Below are 25,250 nucleotides of genomic sequence, written 5' to 3' on the forward strand. Positions count from 1 at the left end.
TCTTAGCAATCTCATCATTTATACTGGAGTACTTAGACTTTGAAACTTTGCCACAGCTACCTGCCACGTCCTTGTATAGGATATAAGTAAATATATTCAGTCATCAAATCTATAGAGAACTGTGAGAATAGAGTGGTAAACAAAACACATTGCCTGCCCTCACAGCTAAAGAGGAGTGATGGTGGGAAAGTGGAAGTGATCAGAACCCAATCTGAGGTCAGAAAACAAAACTACAATCTATTTCAGGTTGCACAAATGAAATTTTAACTGAATCTGAGGGACATTAGATTTAATCAAACCAAATGAGAAGGCAAGGTGGTGTTTTGAGCTAAGGGCACAGCAGATGTAAGAGTCATAAAGGAAGAAGAACAAAACACATTCAAGATAAAAGACACGGAGAGAGGGAAAGATGACACTGTACGGTGAAATATCTTGCAAGTCAATATTAGATACTAGCCTTTGGGCTTTAGCTTGAGAACAGTGGGAAGACATTGACGCTCAGATTTTTTTTTCTAAAGTTTTTTATTAATGCCTAATACATATAGAAGCATTAGCATACTGCTTCGTGAATTTTCACAGACTTAGCACACCTATGTGATGAACACCTAGATGAAGAAAAACAACAATATCAGCATCCTAAAAGTTCCCCTTCATTTTCCTTCCAGTCAGTCCTGTCTCTTGCCCACCAAGGGAGACCTCTTGCCTGACTTCTCACTGTATATGGAGGATATTGCCTACATTGTACTTAATATAAATAGGGGCATACAATGTGTATTCACTTGGGTGAAGCATTACGATTATGAGATTTATCCATATTGTTGACTGTGGTTGCTAATTGTTCTCATAGCTGTATAATGTTCCGTCATATGCATGTACTACAGATTTGCATTTTTCTGAGATTGCTGAATCTGCATCATGAAGGATGGGAGGGTGTGAATTTAGTAAGCTTCACAGTAAATCTAGGAAAGAGATACTGGGGCTTGAGCTAGTGTGGTGACAATGAGGATGAAGAGAGGTGGGTATATAGAGAGATATTTACAAGTTAGAACTTAATTGGATGAGGGGATGAAGAATCATACACCAGAGATAACTCCTGGGTCCTGACTTGGGCAGGGGTTAATGGCAGTGCCCTTCATTAAGTCCAAATACTGGAGAGGAAGTGGGTTGTTGCTTGTGCTTTAGTGATACAGGGGATTAACGAATTCAATTTCTGATACAGTTAAGGCATCTGTGAAACATTGCATAGATCTGCTTTATACAACTGTTTTATTAACTGAATTAATGAATAACCTTACCTTCATTAACAACAGTGTGCTAACAAATAGTTCTACATATGGAAAACTGCAAATCTTGTCTAGTCTCACTGTTCTTCACCTCTGAATCTCACGAGATACTCTTTTCCTAAATGTGTTAGGAGTGGTTTTGTTGCATCTCATGCTTTTTTTTCTTTTTATTTATAGAATATACTTCATCTAAACTAGTGCTAACTTTATGCAAGAAGAGTAGCACTTCCTAGGTATATGATATGAAAGGCATTGGTGAAATGCCTTCATACTTAAAGGCATTGTTTTTCCAACATTATGGTCTTTCCTTTAGCACAATAAAGACACCTTAAAATGAGTTTGTTTATAGGAAATAACCTACTTATTTAGTAAGACTTTAATGGACTGAAGTAAATATTCATGAGATTTGGGCAGGGGAAAGAAAAGAAAGATAGGGATGAGGTCTGACCTGAGCACAAACCTAGGCAGGGTGCCACAGGGGGAACCCTGAACATCAGAGAGCAGGTTGAATGCACCTGATTTTAAAGGAAGATTATGCCAAAAGAGTGACGTAGGAGCTGTAAAGGAGGGACTTCACCTCTTTTCGATGCTGCCTGGGACTAGTTATACTTGTGGAAAATTTTATGTGAAGATAACTAATAATTCTAGCACTGAATGAAACAAATGCCTGAGACCTACTGGAACATTAAATAGACTTTTATGCCAGCCAGTTATGATTCAGTGCTATATTTAGACCACAAAATTTGAACTAAAATCAAGGCAGTTTATTCTTATCCCATCATGTCCATGGGGTGGAGAGGAACAACTAAGTAATCATGATCATGCACTTCAGTTTATAGCGTTTTCTCTAGCTTTGGGCATTGTCACTTAACAGACAATACAATTTTAAAAATTAAATGCTCAATTTCATTTCACTGAGGTTTTTTGTTGTTGCACAACATTGTAAGTATACAGTAAGTTGTTTTTTCTTTTAAATTTTTGCCTCTAATTCAGGTTTACATTGAGCAACCAAATCAGTATTTTCAGAAACCATTGAAGTTAATTCATTTATTTAATAATTACTTATGAAATATGTCATGTATAATAGTGCTATAGCCTAAGATGATGATGGTGAGAAGTACTCCTACCTTTTGTTACTGGCACGATGGTGGCGATACTCAGAACAAACAAAAACAGTGTGATAACACAAATTATTATATGACTCGCTGTTTTAATAGTGTTTACAAAAGCAGTGAATCCCAGGAAAATAAACTATTGGCTACAATATCAAAAAAGAAATGATGGAAGTGGTAGAATTTAATTTGGGTCCTGACAAATAGGCAGGATTTGAACATGTATGGCAAGAACACTGCAGGCAAGGGTAACATCTCATGAGAACTGATGCAGAAAAAAATACAGCATATATTGGCAGAGTGAGAAACTGGCCAGACTGTAGCAGAAATCACAAGCTGGTGTGAGGAGAGAGAGAAAAGCTTCATTAAGGAAGTTTTGAATTACTGAAAAATTCACCAGTCATAAGGCATGGATTATTGTCTTGCTGTTTAGATTACCTATAAATGTAATTTTACTTTACTCACCACCATGTGATAATTATGTAGGGTTTTATCTTTTTAGAAACCTGATGTGAAATTACCTGAAGGAATGAAGTTAGTGTGCTTTTAAGTTAAGAATATCTTCACTCAGTATCCATGGATAGGCTTCAGGGAATCTGGATCTCTTTGAAATTAAAGCAAAAGTTTGGATGTATTTCTTTTTCTGGAGGAAGGATCCATTGCCTTTATGAGTATGTAACAGTCCAGAAGAAGTTAATAAAATAGCTCGAGCTCTCCTAACTTAAAACTTTTTTATTTTTTATTATTATTATTTTTTTTTTTGTAGAGATGGAGTCTCGCTCTGTCACCCAGGCTGGAGTGCAGTGGCATGATCTCGGCTCACTGCAACCTCCACCTCCCGGGTTCAAGCAATTCTGCCTCAGCCTCCCGAGAAGCTTCATCTTGGGTTTTTTATTATTATTATTATTATTATTATTATTATTATTATTATTATACTTTAAGTTCTAGGGTACATGTGCACAACATCTTGGGGTTTTTTTAATGCAGTAAATTAAAATGGGGAAATTAAAACACGTTAAATACTTTCCCTTTATTTCACTATTTACTGATACGGTATTTAAGAGATAATCCTGAAAAGTATATCAGTTGGGTTGATTATATAACCAGAGATAGTGGCTATTTTATCAATTCCGTGGCTTTCAGTAAAAGGACAGCTCAATTGCCTTTTTAGATACAGAATGTTTCTGAATATGCTATTTCAAGTAGAAATTCCTTCCTATTTTTGGACAGGCATATGTCTGCTTTCTGCAGAATACAAAGAATTTTCAATGTGTCCAGCTTCAGTCCTGAAATTTGACTTACCTGGATCATATTTAATCTTTTGCACAACTGTTTAAAGCAGGAGTCAACAAATTATATATAGCCCATGGGCCAAATCCAGCCCTCAAACCTATTTTTGTATGGCCTATGACCTAAGAATTGTTTTTACATTTTAAAATTGTTAAATTTAAAAAAGGATTGTAAGGGATTAGGATTTTAAAAAGGAGAATATGCAACAGAGATTTTATGTGGCCCTCAAAGTCTATGGTATTTACTAACTGGCCCTTTTTTTAAATGCCAATCCGTGGTTTAAAGTACAGTTTTTAAGTTCTCCTAGATGCATGTGTTATTCTACAAGCAGATACAATGCTTGTGGATAGATATTATTTTTGAAGTTGGGAGTATATTTATATAATTTTAGCAAAGTTGACTGAATAAGATAACCTGTTTTCTATACTGAATATTCAGCTAATAGTTTCGCTTTCTAAAGTCTGGATTTGAAAGTGTATGAACAAAGTGTGGACTTAGTAATCTACTTCAAAGAACTATGTGAATATGAAAGTAGATTTTGTTTTTCATGGATATATTACACAGCAACCACAATTCAGATCAAGAAAAATATTAAAATATAATCTTTGTTTTAGAAGACACCACTTAAGGCAAAGAAGGCAAAAGAAAACATTTGTACCTGTTAATGAGTTGGGAAGGGCAGCTCTTAAAAATTATACTATTCATTGGTTTATTCAACATTTATACTTATTTTTAGAACCATTATATATATTGGCTTCTTTGTATTATATTTTATTAATATTATTGTATGAGATACTATGATTCTAAATTTTGGATAAATATTGAAATTATTTTTAATGGGGGATATGTCATAATTAGTGAGTCTCAAAAAATTGGGGCAATTCTGCCTTCTCTCTCTGCATCATTATTTTTCCTTCACTACTGGATCTTTTCCACCAACATACAAATAATGTTGAGTTTTTTCCCCCATCTTAAAAAAAATCTTACTCCCAGTTCTCCTTTAGTTACTACCCCATGTCTTTCATGTAAAGCCTATATCTCTGAAGTATGTAGTTGCCTGTGCTGTCTGAATTCAGTTCCTATAACCCCTGCCATTTCACCAGAATTGTACTTCTTAATGACTGCCATGCTGCCAATCAGATGGTCATCTCAGTCTTCCTCTTATTTGACCTGGCAACGGTGTTTAACACTCCTTGTTTGGCCTTTTAGATACTATACTACACTGTCCTGTTTTTTTTTCTCCTACCCCTCTGGCTGCTGCTTTTTCAATCTCTTGCTGATTTCTTCTTGCCTCCCCATCTCCAAATTGGGAATGCTCCAACATTTGGAATTTTGAGGCCTTTAAAACTGCATGTTCACTCCCTTAGTGACTTCATATAGTACCATGGCTTTATATGATCATCCATTTGCTAATGATCAGAAGTCCTTTAGTCTTTTTTTTTTTTTTTTTGATATGGAGTTTTGCTCTGTCTCCCAAGCTGGAGTGAGTGCAATGGCATGATCTCAGCTCACTGTGACCTCCTCCTCCGGGGTTCAAGCGATTCTCCTGCCTCAGCCTCCCATGTAGCGGGGATTACAGGCGTGTGCCAGCACACCTGGCTAATTTTTGTAATTTTAGTAGAAATGGGGTTTCACCATGTCGGCCCGGCTGGTTTTGAACTCCTGACCTCAGGTGATCTGCCTGCCACGGCCTCCCAAAGTGCTGGGATTACAGATGTGAGCCTCCGTGCCTGGCCCCTGTAGTCTTCTTAGAATGTAATATAGTAAACTGAATTCCTCATCTTTCCCCCACCAAAACCTCCTCCGGCAGTTTTTCCCATCTGAGTAACAGCACCTGCTGTCTTTTAATCAGCCTTGGTGTCACCAAGGATGCCTGTCCTCCTTTCATTCCACATATGATAATTCTTCACATTTCTGTTACCAAAATATTATCTTGCTTCTGTCCCAAAAATATTTCTGAGATTCAGTTATTGCTTACCATCTCTACTCCTACAACCCTGATCCAAATCACCTTCATCTCTTACCTGTATTGATGCAAAAAGCCTCCTGTAATTGGTCTTCCTGTTTTTTCCTGTTGACTTAACTTCAGTCCATTCTTAATATAGCAGGTAAAGTAGTTATATTTAAATATAAGCCATATTATGTCACTCTTTTGATGAAAATCCTCCATTGACTTTTCATCTCAACCAGAATAAAAACTAAAGTTCTTAAAATAGCCTACCAGGCTCTGTGCTCTGGGCTGTCATTCCCAGACAGCCACTGCCAACCACTCCTGCCTGCTCACACCCACTTTGCTCTAGTCATCCACACTGGCTTCTTTGCTGTTCTTAGAACATGCCAGGCAAGTTCTTGCTTTAGAGCCTTTGCACTGGTTGTTCTCTGTAATACTCTTTCCCTGTATATCTACAGGGATCAATCTCTCATTACTTGAGATTTGTACTTAAATGTCAATTTAATGAAGCTTTCTTTAGCCACTTGATCTAAAATTGCAGATTTCCCCTACTTCACCCCAATTCTCCTTCCTGCTTTATGTTTCTTTTCTTGAAGACCTGTTACCATCTACCATCCCATATATTTTACCTACTTTTTTCATTTATTTTTTGCCTTCCTCCACTAGAATATAAAGGCTTTTTGTTTCCTTTGTTCACTGGTCTGTCCTCAGCACATAGAAATATAGTGTTTGGCCCACGTTATACACTTAGTTAATATTGATGAATTAATAAATAAGTGGAATTTAAAAATAGCCAACACAAAATTTTAACATAGTTCAGGGATTTTTGAGAGCTCCTGGGATCATTGAATAAGCATTCAAATATTCCAGTAAATGACATGCATGGAGCTAAAGGTATTAGAAATATGACTGTATACATTGGTATCATTATATATGTAGAACTTTCTTTTTTGCACAGATCCTTAGCTTTGACCATTTATTCTATTTTTAAAGTGTGGAATACTAAAAAAAAATATTATTTGAACTTAAATATGATTACTATTTGAGTATGCTATGATGTGAATACTTTTTAAAAGAATCTTTTATCATTAAAAGTAGTCATTTAGTACAGTAGGAATTTTTTTACAAAAAAACTTATAAAATAATTTAAATTTCCAGAAGAGTTTCAAAGGCAGTACAGAGACTGAACTTTTCAGGATCCTTGTTCTGTGTCTTATAAGTTTTCATCTTCAAAAAGCATGGAACAAATACTAATTCAGCCTACCAACATAGCTTTTGTTAAAGTAACTGCTTTTTAAAATAATTTTTAAATACATAAAGCTACCAAATAATTAGTTTCAAATTTCATAATTATTTTTTCTTGACTATATGCATAACTGATTTAAATAGAGTCATAATCCAAATTTTCTCAATTATGACATACATTTCTTCATGTTTCATTATAGTCTTTTTAAATGACTAATAATAGACCATCTTGCTGATGTATCATTATTAATAAATTGTTTTCTTCCTGTTGGACATCTTAAGGCTGTTTTGTTTTACTGTTATTAATAATATGGTAGGTGATATATTTGTGCATATAACTTCTTGCATTTGCCTAAATTATTTCCTTTAGCTAATTACCCAGAATTAGATTGGGCAATAAAAATCATAGGGCTTATGAGGAAAATGGGGTTGGAGTACAGCCCACAATAATTTTGTCAGTGACACATTTTTAAAAAGACAGAAAACTAATAACAAGTGCAGCACAGTTTTACATATGTTAAATGGTTAAGAAATACATAATTACTATTATACAAGTGACACTTTTTACCTTGAACAAACCCTGATGTTTGCTTGTGGAAGTAGGTATGGAATTGTGATCTCCAAGTTAATGTGAAGTGGTAGAAGGAGGATTATCTGAAATCAGAAGGAAAGTTGTAACATTGCATGTGATGGGTGTGGCTCGTAACAGAAGCACGGTGAACTGAAGTGGCTGGTAACTTGAGATGTGTGCAGGTGTGCTTTTTGTTTATTCTTATGTGACTTAGTTAAGCTGGCAGCAATTTTCTGTGTTCACTTAGTGTTTCTCGCAGATAAAATCATGCATAAGCAAAGGTGACATTCTCTTTATGCTCATGTAGTTCTCTAATAAACCAACTGCACTGAAACAAATTTGCATTTTCAAAATAAGTGTTATGGCAGAAGAGACTCCACTAATTTGTTATCCCATCAATTTTACTGCAATTTTAACATCGTGCTAGGTTTTTAAGCTTTTATATGGTAATTTTTCTGATATATTTTTAACCAGATGCCTTTAGAATACAGTTTGGTGCAGTCTTACAGATATAACTCCAACCATAATAGGCAGTGGAGATGTTATTTTAAAATAATAATAAAGCTTGGTTAATTGCACAGAGACAAGAAAAAATGGAGGACAGGTTTCTTCCAAGAATGACTGAAGCCAGAATAGAGGTTAGAGAAAACAGAAGAAGAAAAAAAAAACCCTAAAACCTGCAAAGGGAGTTTGTACCTAGGTAGAGCAGTACCTTGAATACCAGATTAAAGTTTCAACTTCCAGAAGGCAACCAAAAGTCAGTATTTTGTTGTTGTTGTTGTTGCTGTTGTTGTTGTTGTTGTTGTTGTTGTTAACAGGAAAGATGAAAGACCAGATAAGGAAGAAAGGCCAAGGAGGAGGACATAGGAAAAGTGTAGGTTGGAGATGGTATGGTTACCATCCAATAAGAACAGAAAAGAAAGTATAAATGTAAGGGTTTTGTTAGCAGTACTATTTGCCTTCTGATTAAATGATAAAGAAGATGTAAAATAAATGTTTGTCTAAGATTACTCCAAAGTATTATCCTGAGTGGCTAAAGAATAGCGATCCTAGAAAAAAAAAATTGATGATCAGGAAGAAGAGCTGTATGAGTGGGAGGAGAAGGTATTCCTGAAATGATGAGTTTAGTTTGAAAGGAAGCCTGACTGAGTGGACACAGCCCCTGATTGAGCATTAAGAAAATTTTTGATTAATTACTGGTGGGGCCCTGGACAATAGTATACTTCTCTGGCTTTCAGTTTTCTCACCTGTAAAATAAGTATTGAACTACTAGTGACTGCTGAAGTTTCTTCCAGCTTTGAAACAATTGCTGTGTGTTTTTTTTTTATTTGAACTTTATTACTGTTTCTTCATGATTGCTGTCTAGTGACCTTTTATGAAGACTTTGGTTTATAATGAAACAAGGATAAAGTGCTCAGTCTTGAGTCTGTTGGAGATTAAACTTTCCTGACTCCTGAAATGCTTGACTTGACACCGGAAGTGCCACAACTGCCATCTCACTTTATCTTTTTTCTGCCAAAGGAAGCTTCTTGCAGATCAAAATTGGGAGCAAGGAGAATTGGATGTATAAAGCCAAACTTGGAAAAAGCATTCTGCAATTTTTCTTAATACAATCTTTTGGGGCTCTATTTGTTATTAGCTGTTAGAAATCCCAATAAATTATTTGGAAAGAAATTCAGTACAAATATAATAATGTTATAGAAGTATATGTATATAGTAAATATAATCTAGGAGAGGCTTACCATAGAAAAGGTGCAGGCTTTGGAATTAGCTTGAATTCAAATATTAGTTTTATTACTCTACTAGCTGTGTAACCTTAGGTAAACAGAAATGAAAAGCTTTATTTTGGAGGATGATTTTATTTCTTTCTGTGTAAAATGGAAATAGTAATACTAAGTTTCAGAATTGTTGTGAGGATTAGAGACAATGTTTGTAAAGAACTGAGTATACAACCTGATACTTAATAAAGAGTAACCTTTATCAGTTACCAGGTAATAGTTATTGTTGCAGTATGAGGACTTGGTTAAAACTTTTTCAAATTCTTACCTGTATTAAACACTTAACCTACATTCTCCTCTTGTAATCAGAATCTCGTGTGCATGTATGTAATGATGGGTTCTCTAATATTCAGTTTTCTGGCAGATTAAAACATCTGACAAAACTAAAGAATTATTTTAAAAATATTTAGAGTGTCAACATATTCAATTCTTAGATGGAATAATGATCTTTAAAGAGATGAGACTAGTATGTAAAAAGTTCATTTTTAAAAGTAAGAATCTTCATCCTAATTATCTGCTAGCTAAGACAAAATAATAGAATCAACATTCTTACAGATTTTCGTTTACACTGCCTCCTTTAAAAGATGCCCAATACTGTGGATATTAAAGAGTGATTACTAGTATATTATGTATATTATATATTCAGCTTTCCTTTTGTAAATTGATTTTAAACATTTCCAAGAAATAGTTTCAAACTAGGTACTTCTTAACATCTCTTATACTTTTGCCTTAAATAAAAACACATTGATAATGCTAATTATATGGTAAAACTGTTAGGTCTGCAGAAGTCATATTTTATTTCTGAAATAATAAAAATACATTTTAAAACAGATGCAGAAAATGTGAAAGGTAGATTGCTGCTGGAAATTCACATAGTCTTTAAGGAATAAACTATGTACGTGTTGACTATGAACAGACTAGTCTATATTTACTATATTAAATTTTCACCAAGTTATAAAGATTCAGTATGTTATCCTTTTGGAAATTTAAAAAATAGTAAAACACATTCTTTTTAAGAGCAGGAACAATGTACTTGAAGCAACAAATTTATGACTGAAGATTATATATCAGTATAATCCTTGCTTCTCTGATTGCTGTGTACCCTTTTCTGCAGCCGTTTTTTTTTTAACTCTTAAAGTCTGTGCTCTATTACAGTGATTCTTTTTCTTGTTTCTAAAAGAATAAATGAATAGTTTTTTGTTAATAATTAATGTAGGCCTCTGCTTACCTGCTTTATACATTCTTTACCTGCCTGTACGTAGCACTTGCCTATGCAAGTATTCATTTACTGAAAAAGTTACCAACTTTGTAGCCTTGAAATCATTTAAAAAATATGTTAACTGACTTGAATACTCTGGTTAGAAGCAAAATGCATACCTTCTACTTGAAGGAATTTGTTTTCACCTTTACTGAAAAAAATACATATTTAGTTGTATTTTAAACACTACTTATTTTGACATAGTAATCACTTTATAGTTTTCTAGGAAGTTCATCTTTGTATGCATTTTATATCTCCTATTCTTTTCTTGTAAAGATTAGGTTACAATTAAAATAATTCAAAGATCATTGGGAGGTACTGCATTAAACTGTGGGTTGGATCTTGCCTTTTGTCTTGTTCAAACTGCACCTCTCCTTTTATTTTTTTCAATCTGAAGATAGTAGCATGCTTAGAGCATGAATGTAAGCCATGTGGTGGCTAAGATAGAGAAGGCAGAGATGGATGACTTCAGAGGAAGTAAGTGTTTGACAGGAGACTGGACTGGGTGATGGTGTGAACCAAAGTCAAGGTCACAGGGAGAAAAAGAGCAGGCTGGCTTCATGGGTGTGCAACCTGTACAGTTACACAAGGCTCAGCTTTTTTAATGTTCTGCTACTGCTATGTTGAAATTCTTAATCAATTTCACACAAGAGGCCCTGAATTTTTATTTTGCACTGAGTCTCACAAATTATCTAGCCTGTTCTGCAGATGAGAAATAACAGGAAGCAGAAATTTCTTGTCTTTTTAGTTATTAATTCCTTTTCCCAGATTAGCCAAAATGGGAATTATTTTTTAAATGATGACTTACGGACATTTAAAAAAATGTGGAAAATTAACCTAATTTGAAAGCAGTTGTGTGTGTATGTATGTTATTTAGTAATTTACCCAAGTATTGGAGAGGGGAAAAAGGAGCTTGTTAAATTTTCTTATGGAAGTGTCAAAGGTGGTCAAACTTCCAATAGACTTTACCAAGTCAGTATGTAATATACATAGTTTGAGAAGTAAAAACAATTGGTATTACAGAATTGTATGTCTGAATTACCTACTACGTGCTGGGCTTTACCCAGAAAAGTGTTTCTTTACCCATAAAGCCTGATGCTTTATATTCAGTACAGTACTTTATTATTTAGTAATTATTCTTTCCTAGTATTATTTCTAAAGTGGTAATTGTTTCTTGCCTTTATAGTGCTTGTAAACTTTATTTTTTAAAGATTTTGGAAATTAAAATTTAGAAATTTATAAGCCCATTGTGGTTTTTACACAGTCCTGTCAGTTTACTAGTTTTATTTGATAGCTATCTAATACGCACCTGTTTAAAGTGGAACGTGTTTCTATTACACCTAGGCTCTTTTTTTTTTTAAAATTTAAGTTCTGGGATACATCTGCAGTTTGTTACATAGGTATACATGTGTCATGGTGGTTTGTTGCACCCATCAACCCGTCATCTACATTAGGTATTTCTCCTAATGCTATCCCCCACCTAGCCTCCCACACCTCAACAGGCCCCAGTGTGTGATGTTCCCTCCCTGTGTCCATGTGTTCTCATTGTTCAACTCCCACTTATGAGTGAGAACATGCGGTGTTTGGTTTTCTGTTCCTGCGTTAGTTTGCTGAGAATGATGGTTTCCAACTTCATCCATGTCCCTGCAAAGGACATGAACTCATCCTTTTTATGGCTGCATAGTATTCCATGGTGTATATGTGCCACATTTTCTTTATCCAGTCTATCATTGATGGACATTTGAATTGGTTCCAAGTTTTTGCTATTGTGAACAGTGCTGCAGTAAACATACATATGCGTGTGTCTTTATAAGTAGAATGATTTATAATCCTTTGGGTATATACTCAATAATGGGATTGCTGGGTCAAATGGTATTTCTAGTTGTAGATCCTTGAAGAATTGCCACACTGTCTTCCATAATGGTTGAACTAATTTACACTCCCACCAACAGTGTAAAAGCATTCTTAGTTCTGCACATCCTCTCCAGCATCTGTTGTTTCCTGACTTTTTAATGATCGCCATTCTAACTAGCATGATGATATCTCATTGTGGCTTTGATTTGCATTTCTCTAATGACCAGTGATGATGAGTTTTTTTTTTTTCATATATTTTTTGGCCGCATAAATGTCTTCTTTTGAGAAGTGTCTGTTAATATCCTTTGCCCACTTTTTGATGGAGTTGTTTTTTTCTTGTAAATTTGTTTAAGTTCCTTGTAGATTCTGGATATTAGCCTTCTGTCAGATGGATAGGTTGCAAAAATCTTCTCCCATTCTCTCAGTTGCCTGTTCACTCTGATGATAGTTTCTTTTGCTGTGCAGAAGCTCTTTAGTTTAATTACATTCATTTGTCAATTTTGGCTTTTGTTGCCATTGCTTTTGGTGTTTTGTTCATGAAGTGTTTGCTCATGTCTGTGTCCTGAATGGTATTGCCTAGTTTTTCTTCTAGAGTTTTTTATGGTTTTAGGTCTTATGTTTAAGTGTTTAATCTATCTTGAGTTAATTTTTGTATGAGGTGTAAGGAAGGGTTCCAGTTTCAGTTTTCTGCATATGGCTAGCCAGTTTTCCCAACACCATTTATTAAATAGGGAATCCTTTCCCCATTGCTTGTTTTTTGTCAGGTTTGTCAAAGATCAGATGGTTGTAGATGTGTGGTGTTATTTCTGAGGCCTCTGTTCTGTTCCATTAGTCTATATGTTTTGTTTTTTTGTTTATTTTTAACTTCTTATTTATTTATTTATTTATTATTATTATACCTTAAGTTTTAGGGTACATGTGCACAATGTGCAGGTTAGTTACATATGTATACATGTGCCATGCTGGTGCACTGCACCCACTAACTCGTCATCTAGCATTAGGTATATCTCCCAATGCTATCCCTCCCCCCTCCCCCCACCCCACCACAGTCCCCAGAGTGTGATGTTCCCCTTCCTGTGTCCATGTGTTCTCATTCTTCAATTCCCACCTATGAGTGAGAACATGCGGTGTTTGGTTTTTTGTTATTGCGATAGTTTACTGAGAATGATGATTTCCAATTTCATCCATGTCCCTACAAAGGACATGACCTCATCATTTTTTATGGCTGCATAGTATTCCATGGTGTATATGTGCCACATTTTCTTAATCCAGTCTATCATTGTAGGACATTTGGGTTGGTTCCAAGTCTTTGCTATTGTGAATAATGCCGCAATAAACATACGTGTGCATGTGTCTTTATAGCAGCATGATTTATAGTCCTTTGGGTATATACACAGTAATGGGATGGCTGGGTCAAAGACAAAAACCACATGATTATCTCAATAGATGCAGAAAAGGCCTTTGACAAAATTCAACAACACTTCATGCTAAAAATTCTCAATAAATTAGGTATTGATGGGACGTATCTCAAAATAATAAGAGCTATCTATGACAAACCCACAGCCAATATCATACTGAATGGGCAAAAACTGGAAGCATTCCCTTTGAAAACTGGCACAAGACAGGGATGCCCTCTCTCACCACTCCTATTCAACATAGTGTTGGAAGTTCTGGCCAGGGCAATTAGGCAGGAGAAGGAAATAAAGGGTATTCAATTAGGAAAAGAGGAAGTCAAATTGTCCCTGTTTGCAGATGACATGATTGTATATCTAGAAAACCCCATTGTCTCAGCCCAAAATCTCCTTAAGCTGATAAGCAACTTCAGCAAAGTCTCAGGATACAAAATCAATGTACAAAAATCACAAGCATTCTTATATGCCAACAACAGACAAACAGAGAGCCAAATCATGAGTGAACTCCCATTCACAATTGCTTCAAAGAGAATAAAATACCTAGGAATCCAACTTACAAGGGATGTGAAGGACCTCTTCAAGGAGAACTACAAACCACTGGTCAAGGAAATAAAAGAGGATACAAACAAATGGAAGAACATTCCATGCTCATGGCTAGGAAGAATCAATATCGTGAAAATGGCCATACTGCCCAAGGTAATTTACAGATTCAATGCCATCCCCATCAAGCTACCAATGACTTTCTTCACAGAATTGGAAAAAACTACTTTAAAGTTCATATGGAACCAGAAAAGAGCCTGCATCGCCAAGTCAATCCTGAGCCAAAAGAACAAAGCTGGAGGCATCACACTACCTGACTTCAAACTATACTACAAGGCTACAGTAACCAAAACAGCATGGTACTGGTACCAAAACAGAGATATAGATCAATGGAACTGAACAGAGCCCTCAGAAATAACGCCGCATATCTACAACTATCTGATCTTTGACAAACCTGAGAAAAACAAGCAATGGGGAAAGGATTCCCTATTTAATAAATGGTGCTGGGAAAACTGGCTAGCCATATGTAGAAAGCTGAAACTGGATCCCTTCCTTACACCTTATACAAAAATCAATTCAAGATGGATTAAAGACTTAAACGTTAGACCTAAAACCATAAAAACCCTAGAAGAAAACCTAGACATTACCATTCAAGACATAGGCATGGGCAAGGACTTCATGTCTAAAACACCAAAAGCAATGGCAACAAAAGCCAAAATTGACAAATGGGATCTAATTAAACTAAAGAGCTTCTGCACAGCAAAAGAAACTACCATCAGAGTGAACAGGCAACCTACAAAATGGGAGAAAATTTTTGCAACCTACTCATCTGACAAAGGGCTAATATCCAGAATCTACAATGAACTCAAATAAATTTACAAGAAAAAAACATACAACCCCATCAAAAAGTGGGCAAAGGACATGAACAGACACTTCTCAAAAGAAGACATTTATGCAGCCAACAAACACATGAAAAAATGCTCATGATCACTGGCCATCAGAGAAATGCAAATCAAAACCACAATGAGATACCATTTCACACCAGTTAGAATGGCAATCATTAAAAAGTCAGGAAACAACAGGTGCTGGAGAGGATGTGGAGAAATAGGAACACTTTTACACTGTTGGTGGGACTGTAAACTAGTTCAACCATTGTGGAAGTCAGTGTGGCGATTCCTCAGGGATCTAGAACTAGAAATGGTCTATATGTTTTGATACCAGTACCATGCTGTTTTGGTTACTGTAGCCTTGTAGTATAGTTTGAAGTCAGGTAGCATGATGCCTTCAGCTTTGTTCTTTTGGCTTAGGATTGTCTTGGCTATACGGGCTCTTTTTTGGTTCCGTATGAAGTTTAAAGTGGTTTTTTCTAATTCTGTGAAGAGAGTCAATGGTAGCTTGATGGGGATAACATTCAATTTGTAAATTACCTTGGGCAGTATGGCCATTTTCACGATACTGATTCTTCCTATCCATGAGCATGGAATGTTTTTCCATTTGTTTGTGTCCTCTCTTATTTCCTTGAACAGTGGTTTTTAGTTCTCCTTGAAGAGGTCCTTCACATCCCTTGTAAGTTGTATTCCTAAGTACTTTATTCTCTTTGTAGCAGTTGTAAATGGGAGTTCACTCATGATTTGGCTCTGTTTGTTTATTATTAGTGTATAGGAATGCTTGTGATTTTTGCACATTGATTTTGTATCCTGAGACTTTGCTGAAGTTGCTTATCAGCTTAAGGAGATTTGGGGCTGAGACAATGAGGTTTTCTAAATATGCAATCATGTCATCTGCAAACAGAGACAATTTGACTTCCCCTCTTCCTATTTGAATACCTTTTATTTCTTTCTCTTGCGTGATTGCCCAAGCCAGACTTCCAATACTATGTTGAATAGGAGTGGTGAGAGAGGGCATCCTTGTCTTGTGCCGGTTTTCAAAGGGAATGCTTCTAGCTTTTGCCCATTCAGCATGATATTGGCTGTGGGTTTGTCATAAATGGCTGTTACTGTTTTGAGTTACGTTCCATCAATACCTAGTTCCTGGAGAGTTTTTGGCATGAACGGGTGTTGAATTTTATCAAAAGCCTTTTCTGCATCTATTGAGATAATTATGTCGTTTTTGTCATTGGTTCTGTTTATGTGATGGATTATGTTGATTGATTTGCATGTGTTGCAGCTTCATCCCAGGTATGAAGCTGACCTAATCGTGGTGGATAAGCTTTTTGATACACTGCCGGATTCAGTTTGCCAATATTTTATTGAGGATTTTTGCCCCAATGTTCATCAGGGATATTGGCCTGAAATTCTCTTTTTTTGTTGTGTATCTACCAGGTTTTGGTATCAGGATGATGCTGGCCTCATAAAATGAGTTAGGGAGGAGTCCCTCTTTTTCTGTTGTTCGAGATAGTTTCAGAAGGAATGGTAGCAGCTCCTTTTTGTACCTCTGGTAGAATTCAGCTGTGAATCCATCTGGTCCTGGGCTTTTTTTGGTTGGTAGGCTATTAATTACTGCCTCAGTTTCAGAACTTGTTATTGGTCTATTCAGGGATTTGACATCTTCCTGGTTTAGTCTTGGGAGGGTATATGTGTCCAGGAATTTATTCATTTTTTCCTAGATTTTCTAGTTTATTTGCATAGAGGTGTTTATAGTATTCTCTGATGGTAGTTTGTATTTCTGTGGGATCAGTGGTGATATCCCCTTTATCATTTTTTATTGTGTCTGTTTGATTCTTCTCTATTAGTCTGGCTAGCAGTCTATCTATTTTGTTAATCTTTTCAAAAAACCAGCTTCTGGATTCATTGATTATTTTAAAGGGTTTTTCGTGTCTCTATCTTTTTCAGTTGTGCTCTGATCTTAGTTATTTCTTGTCGTCTGCTAGCTTTTGAATTTGTTTGCTCTTGCTTCTCTAGTTCTTTTAATTGTGATGCACTTATTCTAAAATCAACCACATAGTTGGAAGTAAAACACTCCTCAGCAAATGCAAAAGAACGGAAATCATAACAGTATATCAGACCACAGTGCAATCAAATTAGAACTCAGGATTAAGAAACTCACTCACAACCTCACAACTGCATGGAAACTGAACAACCTGCTCCTGAATGACTACTGGGTAAATAATTAAATTAAGGCAGAAAAAAATAAGTTCTTTGATAACAATGAGAACAAAGACACACCATACCAGAATCTCTGGGACACAGTTAAAGCAGCTCACGCCTGTAATCCCAGCACTTTGGGAGGCCGAGGCGAGTGGATCATGAGGTCAGGAGATCGAGACCATCCTGGCTAACAAGGTGAAACCCCGTCTCTACTAAAAATACAAAAAAATTAGCCGGGCGCGGTGGCGGGCGCCTGTAGTCCCAGCTACTCGGGAGGCTGATGCAGGAGAATGGCGTGAACCTGGGAAGCGGAGCTTGCAGTGAGCCGAGATTGCGCCACTGCAGTCCGCAGTCCGGCCTGGGCGACAGAGCGAGACTCCGTCTCAAAAAAAAAAAAAAAAAAGCAGCATTAGGAGAGAAATTTATAGCACTAAATGCTATAAATTTCTCTCCCACAAGAGAAAGCAGGAAAGAACTAAAATCGACACCCTAACCTAGGCTCTTTTTCTGGGTCTCTTTCTTTCTAAAGTTTTGCTTATTTTGTTTACTGCACAATCCAACTAAAACCAAATTTTTTACATCATTTCATTTGAGAGTTACCTTTTATTCTAATAAACTGTGGAATAACTGGGGTTGGGGAGGGAATTGCTTAAGTTCATAAGGATTCTTGCAAACTTGAATGTGTCGATACAAGATTTTTTTTGAAAATTTGTAATTCCATTTCACGATCTCAACCAGAATTCATTATGTTTAAACCACCTGATATAGACTAAAACATTTTTTCAGGAGCACAATTGTAAAAAGGATGCAGAGAAATATTTACAACATTACTTATTTCTTTGCAGATTTAGTGAAAGTATGTCCTACTTTTACAAAATATCTTATTTTCCTCTCTTTTTTACACATATAATAGAGAACTAACTTTTATAAACTAAATGAGAAGGGAATACTAATTTTTAAATTATGATGTCACTTGTAGAATTTGTTTTAAAATTGATAAAATACACCTCTTTTTTTATTATTATACTTTAAGTTCTAGGCTACGTGTGCACAACATGCAGGTTTGTTACATATGTATAAATGGCCATGTTGGTGTGCTGCACCCATTAACTCATCATTTACATTAGGTATATCTCCTGATGCTATCCCTCCCCACTCCCTCTACCCCATGACAGGCCCTGGTGTGTGATGTTCCCCTTCCTGTGTCCAAGTGTTCTCATTGTTCAATTCCTACCTATGAGTGAGAACATGCGGTGTTTGGTTTTCTGTCCTTGTGATAGTTTGCTGAGAATGATGGTGTCCAGCTTCATCCATGTCCCTACAGAGGACGTCAATTCATCCTTTTTTATGGCTGCATAGTATTCCATGGTGTATATGTGCCACATTTTCTTAATCCAGCCTATCATTGATGGGATAAAGCACACCTCTTTAAGACTGCTTATAGAATGCTATGGACTCATTGGCTTGGTTTTTTATTTCCTTGGTTTCAGTCCAAAGTGTAATAAGCTTTTCAGAAAGTTTCTCCTGGATGTGTAAAGAATACCAACAGATATCAGAAAGCATCTGGCTGAAAGTTTAAGCAGGGAGTATTGTTATTCATCCAGCGAAGGTGGTAAAACTCTCCTGTATCCTCGAAGTATAACTAACTGAGAGAGAGAGGCCCTATATAAAGCCAGCTGACTTACCCTGCAATTGCTTGTCTGGCAAACAGACAATTTTTAAAGACTCATATATTTAGGAATTTTTAAATGCCATAGAATCGATGGACAAAATGATTTTCATTTATCTTAATCCAAAATCACAAGATTGATTATATACTTAGGTTATATGGAAAATCAGCATTAGAAGCATTAGTTCTACACCTCATTTGCATGACATTATTACAAGATATTAACTGTAAAAATGAAGTAAATATAATATCTGTTCACCAGATGCCTAAAACATACAACATTAGTATAGACATATAGAAGGATCTGCAAGCAACTAAACAAGTAGCGTAAATCAAAGAATATACTGATAAAGTGGTAAGTGCCTTTTGGGCTTCTTAGGTAATAAGCCCTTGTATCTGCCAGAATAGTCTAGCAAAAAATGCATTTTTTTCTTTAGCCTAGGGAAACTTTTCACAGGAGATGGAGTTTTAGGTATTGTGTAGATGATGGGAGAAATTGCTTTTGATAAGCTTCAGTGAAAAAGGAAGGGAATGTGTCATTGCAGATAGAGAGGGAGAGAAACACTGGTAGTTGGTCGTAGACTGGTAGTGGTGTAGAAATAGAAAGCAAAACCTATTGGACAAAGGAACTGAACAGATTTGTTAAAAAGGAATGAGACAAACAGATATGAAAGATAAGGAGTAAGCTGATACAGGCTGGTGAGCTCACTGATAGCAGAGTCCACCAAGAGGCATTTAGTGGTTTTCCTTCAGGGCAAAAAGTTTGAAAGAGAAAAATATGATCTCTAAATAGGGCTACTCATAAAAAATATTGACTATTAAGAATATAGATACAGTCTGTATCTTTAAGACTGCAATTTAGTACAATTTAATTTTGTTTATAGGCTAAACATTTTTATAATTTCATAGCGATTAACTTGATAAAAAAGGGAAAATTTCTTGGTCTTTCTGCCAATCTGTGTTTCTAACTGACCCTAAACAGCTCTGTTGGTTTCCTGCTCATGCATTAGAGCTTGTCCATAGCCACAAGCCCCTCTTTTCCTGTCAGCCCTGCAAAGACCGCCCCTTCCAAATTGCCTTCTCCTCTTGATGGCACATCCAAGCACTAGCAAATTCGGAATCATTTTTGACTTATCGTTTCCTTTTACCCTTTTTAATCATAGGTACAATCTTTTGCAAGTTGCTTTATCTCTCTGACCTTAGTTTTTTCATATATAACATGGAGTTAATAAAACAATATTGCCATTTTCAGAATTCAATAAGTTAATGTGTAAAAGCACACAACATAGTGCATGGCACATAATAGTTGAGCTTTAATTGTACATGTTACTTGTTTTTTCTATCTTCTCAACTGGTAATAATAACTCTACTGAATAGGTAGTAATTTAATGAAAAAAATTAAATGCATTGTGGTGTTTGCCAAAATTTTTGGTTTGTATGTATACACTGGATTACAGTTTTATAAATTTGTCCTCATGAAATTGATTGTCAGGTGTTTTCTCTTTAGTTGTTTTGTTAAAAGGTTAATTGGAGCATAACAAATGCATCACTATCTTATGTAGCTCCTATAAAAACATAAATACTTTAAAATAAATTTGAAAATTAGAGGGGCTACTACATGCAACTGATTATAGTTCTAATTTTAGTTATGAAATTTACTTCTCAACTAAGGCACAATCTCTAATTCTGTATCTGCATTGATGACTCAGTGATTTTAGAGGTTGTGAGTTGATATTTTCACATTTCTACCTATGGTAACTCATTACAGAATGTCTGATCATGATATCCTGTTCTGTGTAGCATCATAGTGGACACTTCATGATATTTCTGCTAAACCCTTTACCTGTCATAACTGTCTCCTTTCTGTTTTGCAAATTCCCTCAGCAAAGTCAAATTCAGTCCTCACTTGGTTATAAATAGCATTATAAACCATATTTTTGATTTAAATAAAGCACACAAATCTCAAAGAATGATAAAAGCATTGTTCATACTTTGTAAAACTTAATCATTGATTATAGATTAAAACTGAAACAACATGAAGGGATCAGACTCACTCACAGAAGGTTATTGAGAACCAGGAATCATAGATTTCATTCAATTCAAATTATCAGTTGTACATTGTTGCTTGTTCAAAATCATTTTACAATCCACTTTGCCCACCTCCATCTTCTTACGTTACAAAGAACTTTCATCTGCTAGGCACTGCTGATGGTAGAATGCCATGCCTTTAAGGTTTCCCTTTGGAATATAAAGTCTATGTTTTCAATAGAATTAACTGTTCGACAGAGAGAGAACAGGATTTCTGTGCAAAGATGGTACAGTGCTAGTAAAATATATAGCCCCTTTACTGTCTACATTAAGCAAGGATGATACCCTAAGAATTCTAGCTGCTGCTGTTGATGCTGCTGCAACTATTACTACTACTACTTCTACTAATCACGAGTATAGAAAAATATCTCTTTGATCCTGTGTGTGTGGTGGTAAGGTTTTGGGAGAAGCCATTATCTATGGGTGGTGGAATCACATATATTTTAAAGTCTTTTCGACCATGTTCGTTTTCTAATTTTTCTCAAGTAAAAGATTCTTCTATACTTTTAAAAAAATTATAATTTAAAAAAAAATCTTATTGGACTTGTTTAAATTATCAGATATTTTTCAGTTATGTAATTGGTTTCTGGCATACATAGACTTTTATCATTTGCTCTGCTTTAACATACCTTCATCAGTTTTATAAATACAGTTCGAAAGGATTGTTCTAAATATATATAAAGGGAAAACTTCATTTGAAAGCAAAATCTGTATTTGGGATATTTGTTGTCTTTTTTGCCTTCTAAAGGGCAATCTAGAAACACTAATATTGATTGGTTATTTTGTTTCATAATACTTTATAGCTGATTCTTGGCAAAAATGGTTGATTTCTCTTTCATTGTAATACAATAATAAAAAAGTTACTCAGAATTTCTCCAGTGTTTTAAGAGCTGTCCAGGTTGACATCCAAAAATTTAAGAGAGCGTTAGAACATGGGATATCTAATTGTTAATTGAGACTGGAATTATTTCTAATAATCTTAGTTGTAAATACTAATATCTTATTAGTCTTCTTATCTTTGCTGGTATAAAAATGGTTGAAACATTTGAAATTATTTTCTCAGTTACAGTTTTGCCCTGTGTAGAAGTGTGATTATCTAAGAAGTGATTTTTTTTCAGATTTCAAATATGAAGTGTTGTTTAATACTAACATATAGTTACAAAGACTATCGTGACTATTTTTGGTGTTCTTGATTATGATTTAATACTTCATACTTTAGGAAAGACGATTTAGTTCTAAATATATTTATAAGTGAGTTCCTAATTTTTTGTGTGCTGTAGACTTCTAAGCTATTGATATAATTGAATGTTAAGCATTTTCATTTTTTATGGCTTACTACTTTAATGCAAAGCAGAATAAAATACTAATTTATTTCTTACCCTCAGATGATGTTGTGCTGATGTATATTTTCCAGTCTTGTCATAAGCTCACAATTACCTACATAATGGTCTTGAACCAAACGATTAAATGGAAGACAACATTTCTGGTCTTCCATTTTAATTAGTGTGGTGCAAGACTATTATGTAGGTTTTTGTGTAAAATGTGGAATGTGAATCCTCAACTCTTTAGTCATTCTTCCTATTAGATATTGAAGCAAAATTTAAAATATGCCATTTGACTAAAGATATCAAAGTGCTTTATAAAGATATTACAATGTACCTAAGTCCTGTTTTAGAGCACCAGAGAGAAAAATAGAAGCGCATAGAAGGAATAAATTCAGTTGCACATTTTGTATTTAATCCAATGACTCAAAAACATGGGCACATATTTACCAAATTAAACGCTTTCATCAAACATCTTCTTGATCATACCATAAAAGCCCCCAAAGTTTTTATTGGTAGCATTGCTCTGATTAATGAAATGAGCTTCAGTGCAAAAACTTGGGCTGTTAGAATACTTACAAAACCATTATTGTCCAGTTCTATAGCTGCTACCCTAGTCCCTGGCTCTCATCTTTTTATACCTGGTTTACCACATCAGCATCCATGCTGAGAACCATGCCTCAGTCTTGCACTGCTCAAATACATTTAGTCATGAACTTATTTATTCAGCAGACCTTTGAGGACCTACAATGTGCCAACAATTTATTTAAACAATATTTGTATATTTTCCATCCCCAGGCTAGGACTTATAGTCCCCAGTTGGTTATCAAATCTAAACTAAACTCAGCCTAAAAATTTAGAGTTCTCCAAATCTCACTTATTCTTGTTCTTTCATGCCAGTCTCCTTATGGTAACATTCATTCTTAGCACAATGTGTGTCTGTTCCCACTTCTTGTCCTAGTGCATCATCTTTCCTCTTCAAGGATGTACTCCTTCTCCTCCTTAAAATTTTAAAAATCATAGCTAAAACTACCCTGTGAGGTGTGAGGTTTAGGTTGGTGTAGTCATCTGACTTGGATCATTCTTTTTATTCTGGATCCTGAGAGTATCTAGAGGAAATTGCGTATTCTGGTTAATGAGTGGCTTATCACATACTGTCTTAACAACACTAAGCACTCTTTATTCAGTAAAAGTTCACACCATAAGAAAATATATTGTAATGTATTTAGTGCTTCTTCGGTGATATATAAGGTGTTCTACTTAGAAATTTAGATTTGTAGGAATGCTGGTTAATAGAAGTTTCTAATATTTACTGTCTTCCATATTTCCTGATGTTTTGTTTATTTTAAGCTATTTTAAATATTTTGCATTTCATATTTTTAACCAGGCAGTATCTCTGTTCCTCATTCTGAACACCCAATATGGTACTTTGAACATAATAGGGTTTCATAAAGTGCTTGATTCAGTAAAAAAAAAAATTGAACATCTACTATGTTCCAGGCATTTTGCTGGATTTCTGGACTACAATCATGAAAAGACAGTCTATTCTCTCAGCCTGCTTATAGTCTAGTGGGAAAGATAGGTTGACAGACATCCCTAATATAGTATAAGTTCTTGAATACAGGTAAATACAAGAGTATAGAGTACCTAGTCTCTTCTAGGAGTGTCAAGCAAACTTTTTTAGTAGAAGCAGCCTCTGCACCAAGGAGGGAATTAGGAAATTTTAGTGCCTGATAATCTCCTTCAGTCTCCTAAATTATACCAAATGAAACAAAGTAACAGTGTGTGTTTGCTATGGGAATACACCTGGAAGTCAAATATCCAGCATGCACTCCCTAAAGAGTGCCACCCTAAACCTTCCCATGTAGGAATGCCAGCGCCACCTCTGAGAGGAAGGGATGGCTAAACAGAGGCAAGCAGCAGACAAGAGCAGGAGGATTCCTGCAAGGGGAATATGAACAAATACCCAGTGGCAAAAACAAAACAAAACACCAAGGGGAGTTGGAAGAAGTCATTTTCCAAGGCCAGAATGTAGATTTGTTTGGACGGAGTGGATGGGGGGATATAGGCACAGTCTTTGAGCTGCAGAAGAATGCCAGGAGCCAGGTCTTAAAGGATTTTAAATCAGTGATTTTTTAAAACCTTTATTTTCTTAACAGTAGAATTCTTAAGAATTTTAAAATTTTAACTTTAGCTCAATATTTAAAAAATAAAAACAGAACTAGTTTGGTTTTGATGTTGTTTAAGGTTTATTTTGCTGTGCGTTTTGGTGGGGTGGTAGAAGTGTTAGTTTCCTTGGTTGCTTGCTTCTCTCTGTACTCTACTGAGGTTAGGAATTGTGTTCTAGAGTCACATCATGTTACTAACTGGGGCTTTGTGTTCTGACTGGTAGTAGCAATAGGTTTCACCCTTTGTGATTGAGTAGGCTCCTAGGAATTTACTTTCATCTATTCAACAAAAATGTGTATACAGGTTGAGCGTCCCAAATCTGAAATGCTCCAAAATCTGAAACTTGTTGAGTGCCAATATGATGCTCAAAGGAAATGCTCAGTGGAACATTTTTAGATTTCAGATTTTCAGACTAGGGATGCTGAACCAGTAAGTATAATGTACATATTCAAAAAAAAATCTGATATCCAAACACTTCTTTTCTCAAGGATTTTGGATAAGGTATGCTCATCCTGTATTCTTAGTACTAGTAATGTTTCTCTGAGCAAAATAGACACAATCCCTGACCTCATGGAGTTTCCAGTATAATGCCAGAGATGGATATTAGAAAGTAATCCTGTAA

At 35.4% G+C, this 25,250-nt stretch overlaps 1 protein-coding gene across 56 annotated transcripts in view, besides 2 other annotated features; it reads left to right on the top strand.

The window, feature by feature from the left end:
• ZEB1 (zinc finger E-box binding homeobox 1) overlaps window positions 1-25,250 on the top strand; it is a 211,388-nt gene that overhangs the window by 75,457 nt on the left and 110,681 nt on the right. The gene's annotated exons all lie outside the window — the stretch shown is intronic.
• Window positions 109-158: an enhancer, noted in NCBI's record as "active region_3238". NCBI's record gives its function as "activates an Ori minimal core promoter by ATAC-STARR-seq in GM12878 lymphoblastoid cells {active_cell/tissue: GM12878}" and the evidence as "EXISTENCE:reporter gene assay evidence [ECO:0000049][PMID:35858748]".
• Window positions 249-388: an enhancer, noted in NCBI's record as "active region_3239". NCBI's record gives its function as "activates an Ori minimal core promoter by ATAC-STARR-seq in GM12878 lymphoblastoid cells {active_cell/tissue: GM12878}" and the evidence as "EXISTENCE:reporter gene assay evidence [ECO:0000049][PMID:35858748]".

Source organism: Homo sapiens, chromosome 10, assembly GCF_000001405.40.
Source record: "Homo sapiens chromosome 10, GRCh38.p14 Primary Assembly".
NCBI lineage: Eukaryota > Metazoa > Chordata > Mammalia > Primates > Hominidae > Homo > Homo sapiens.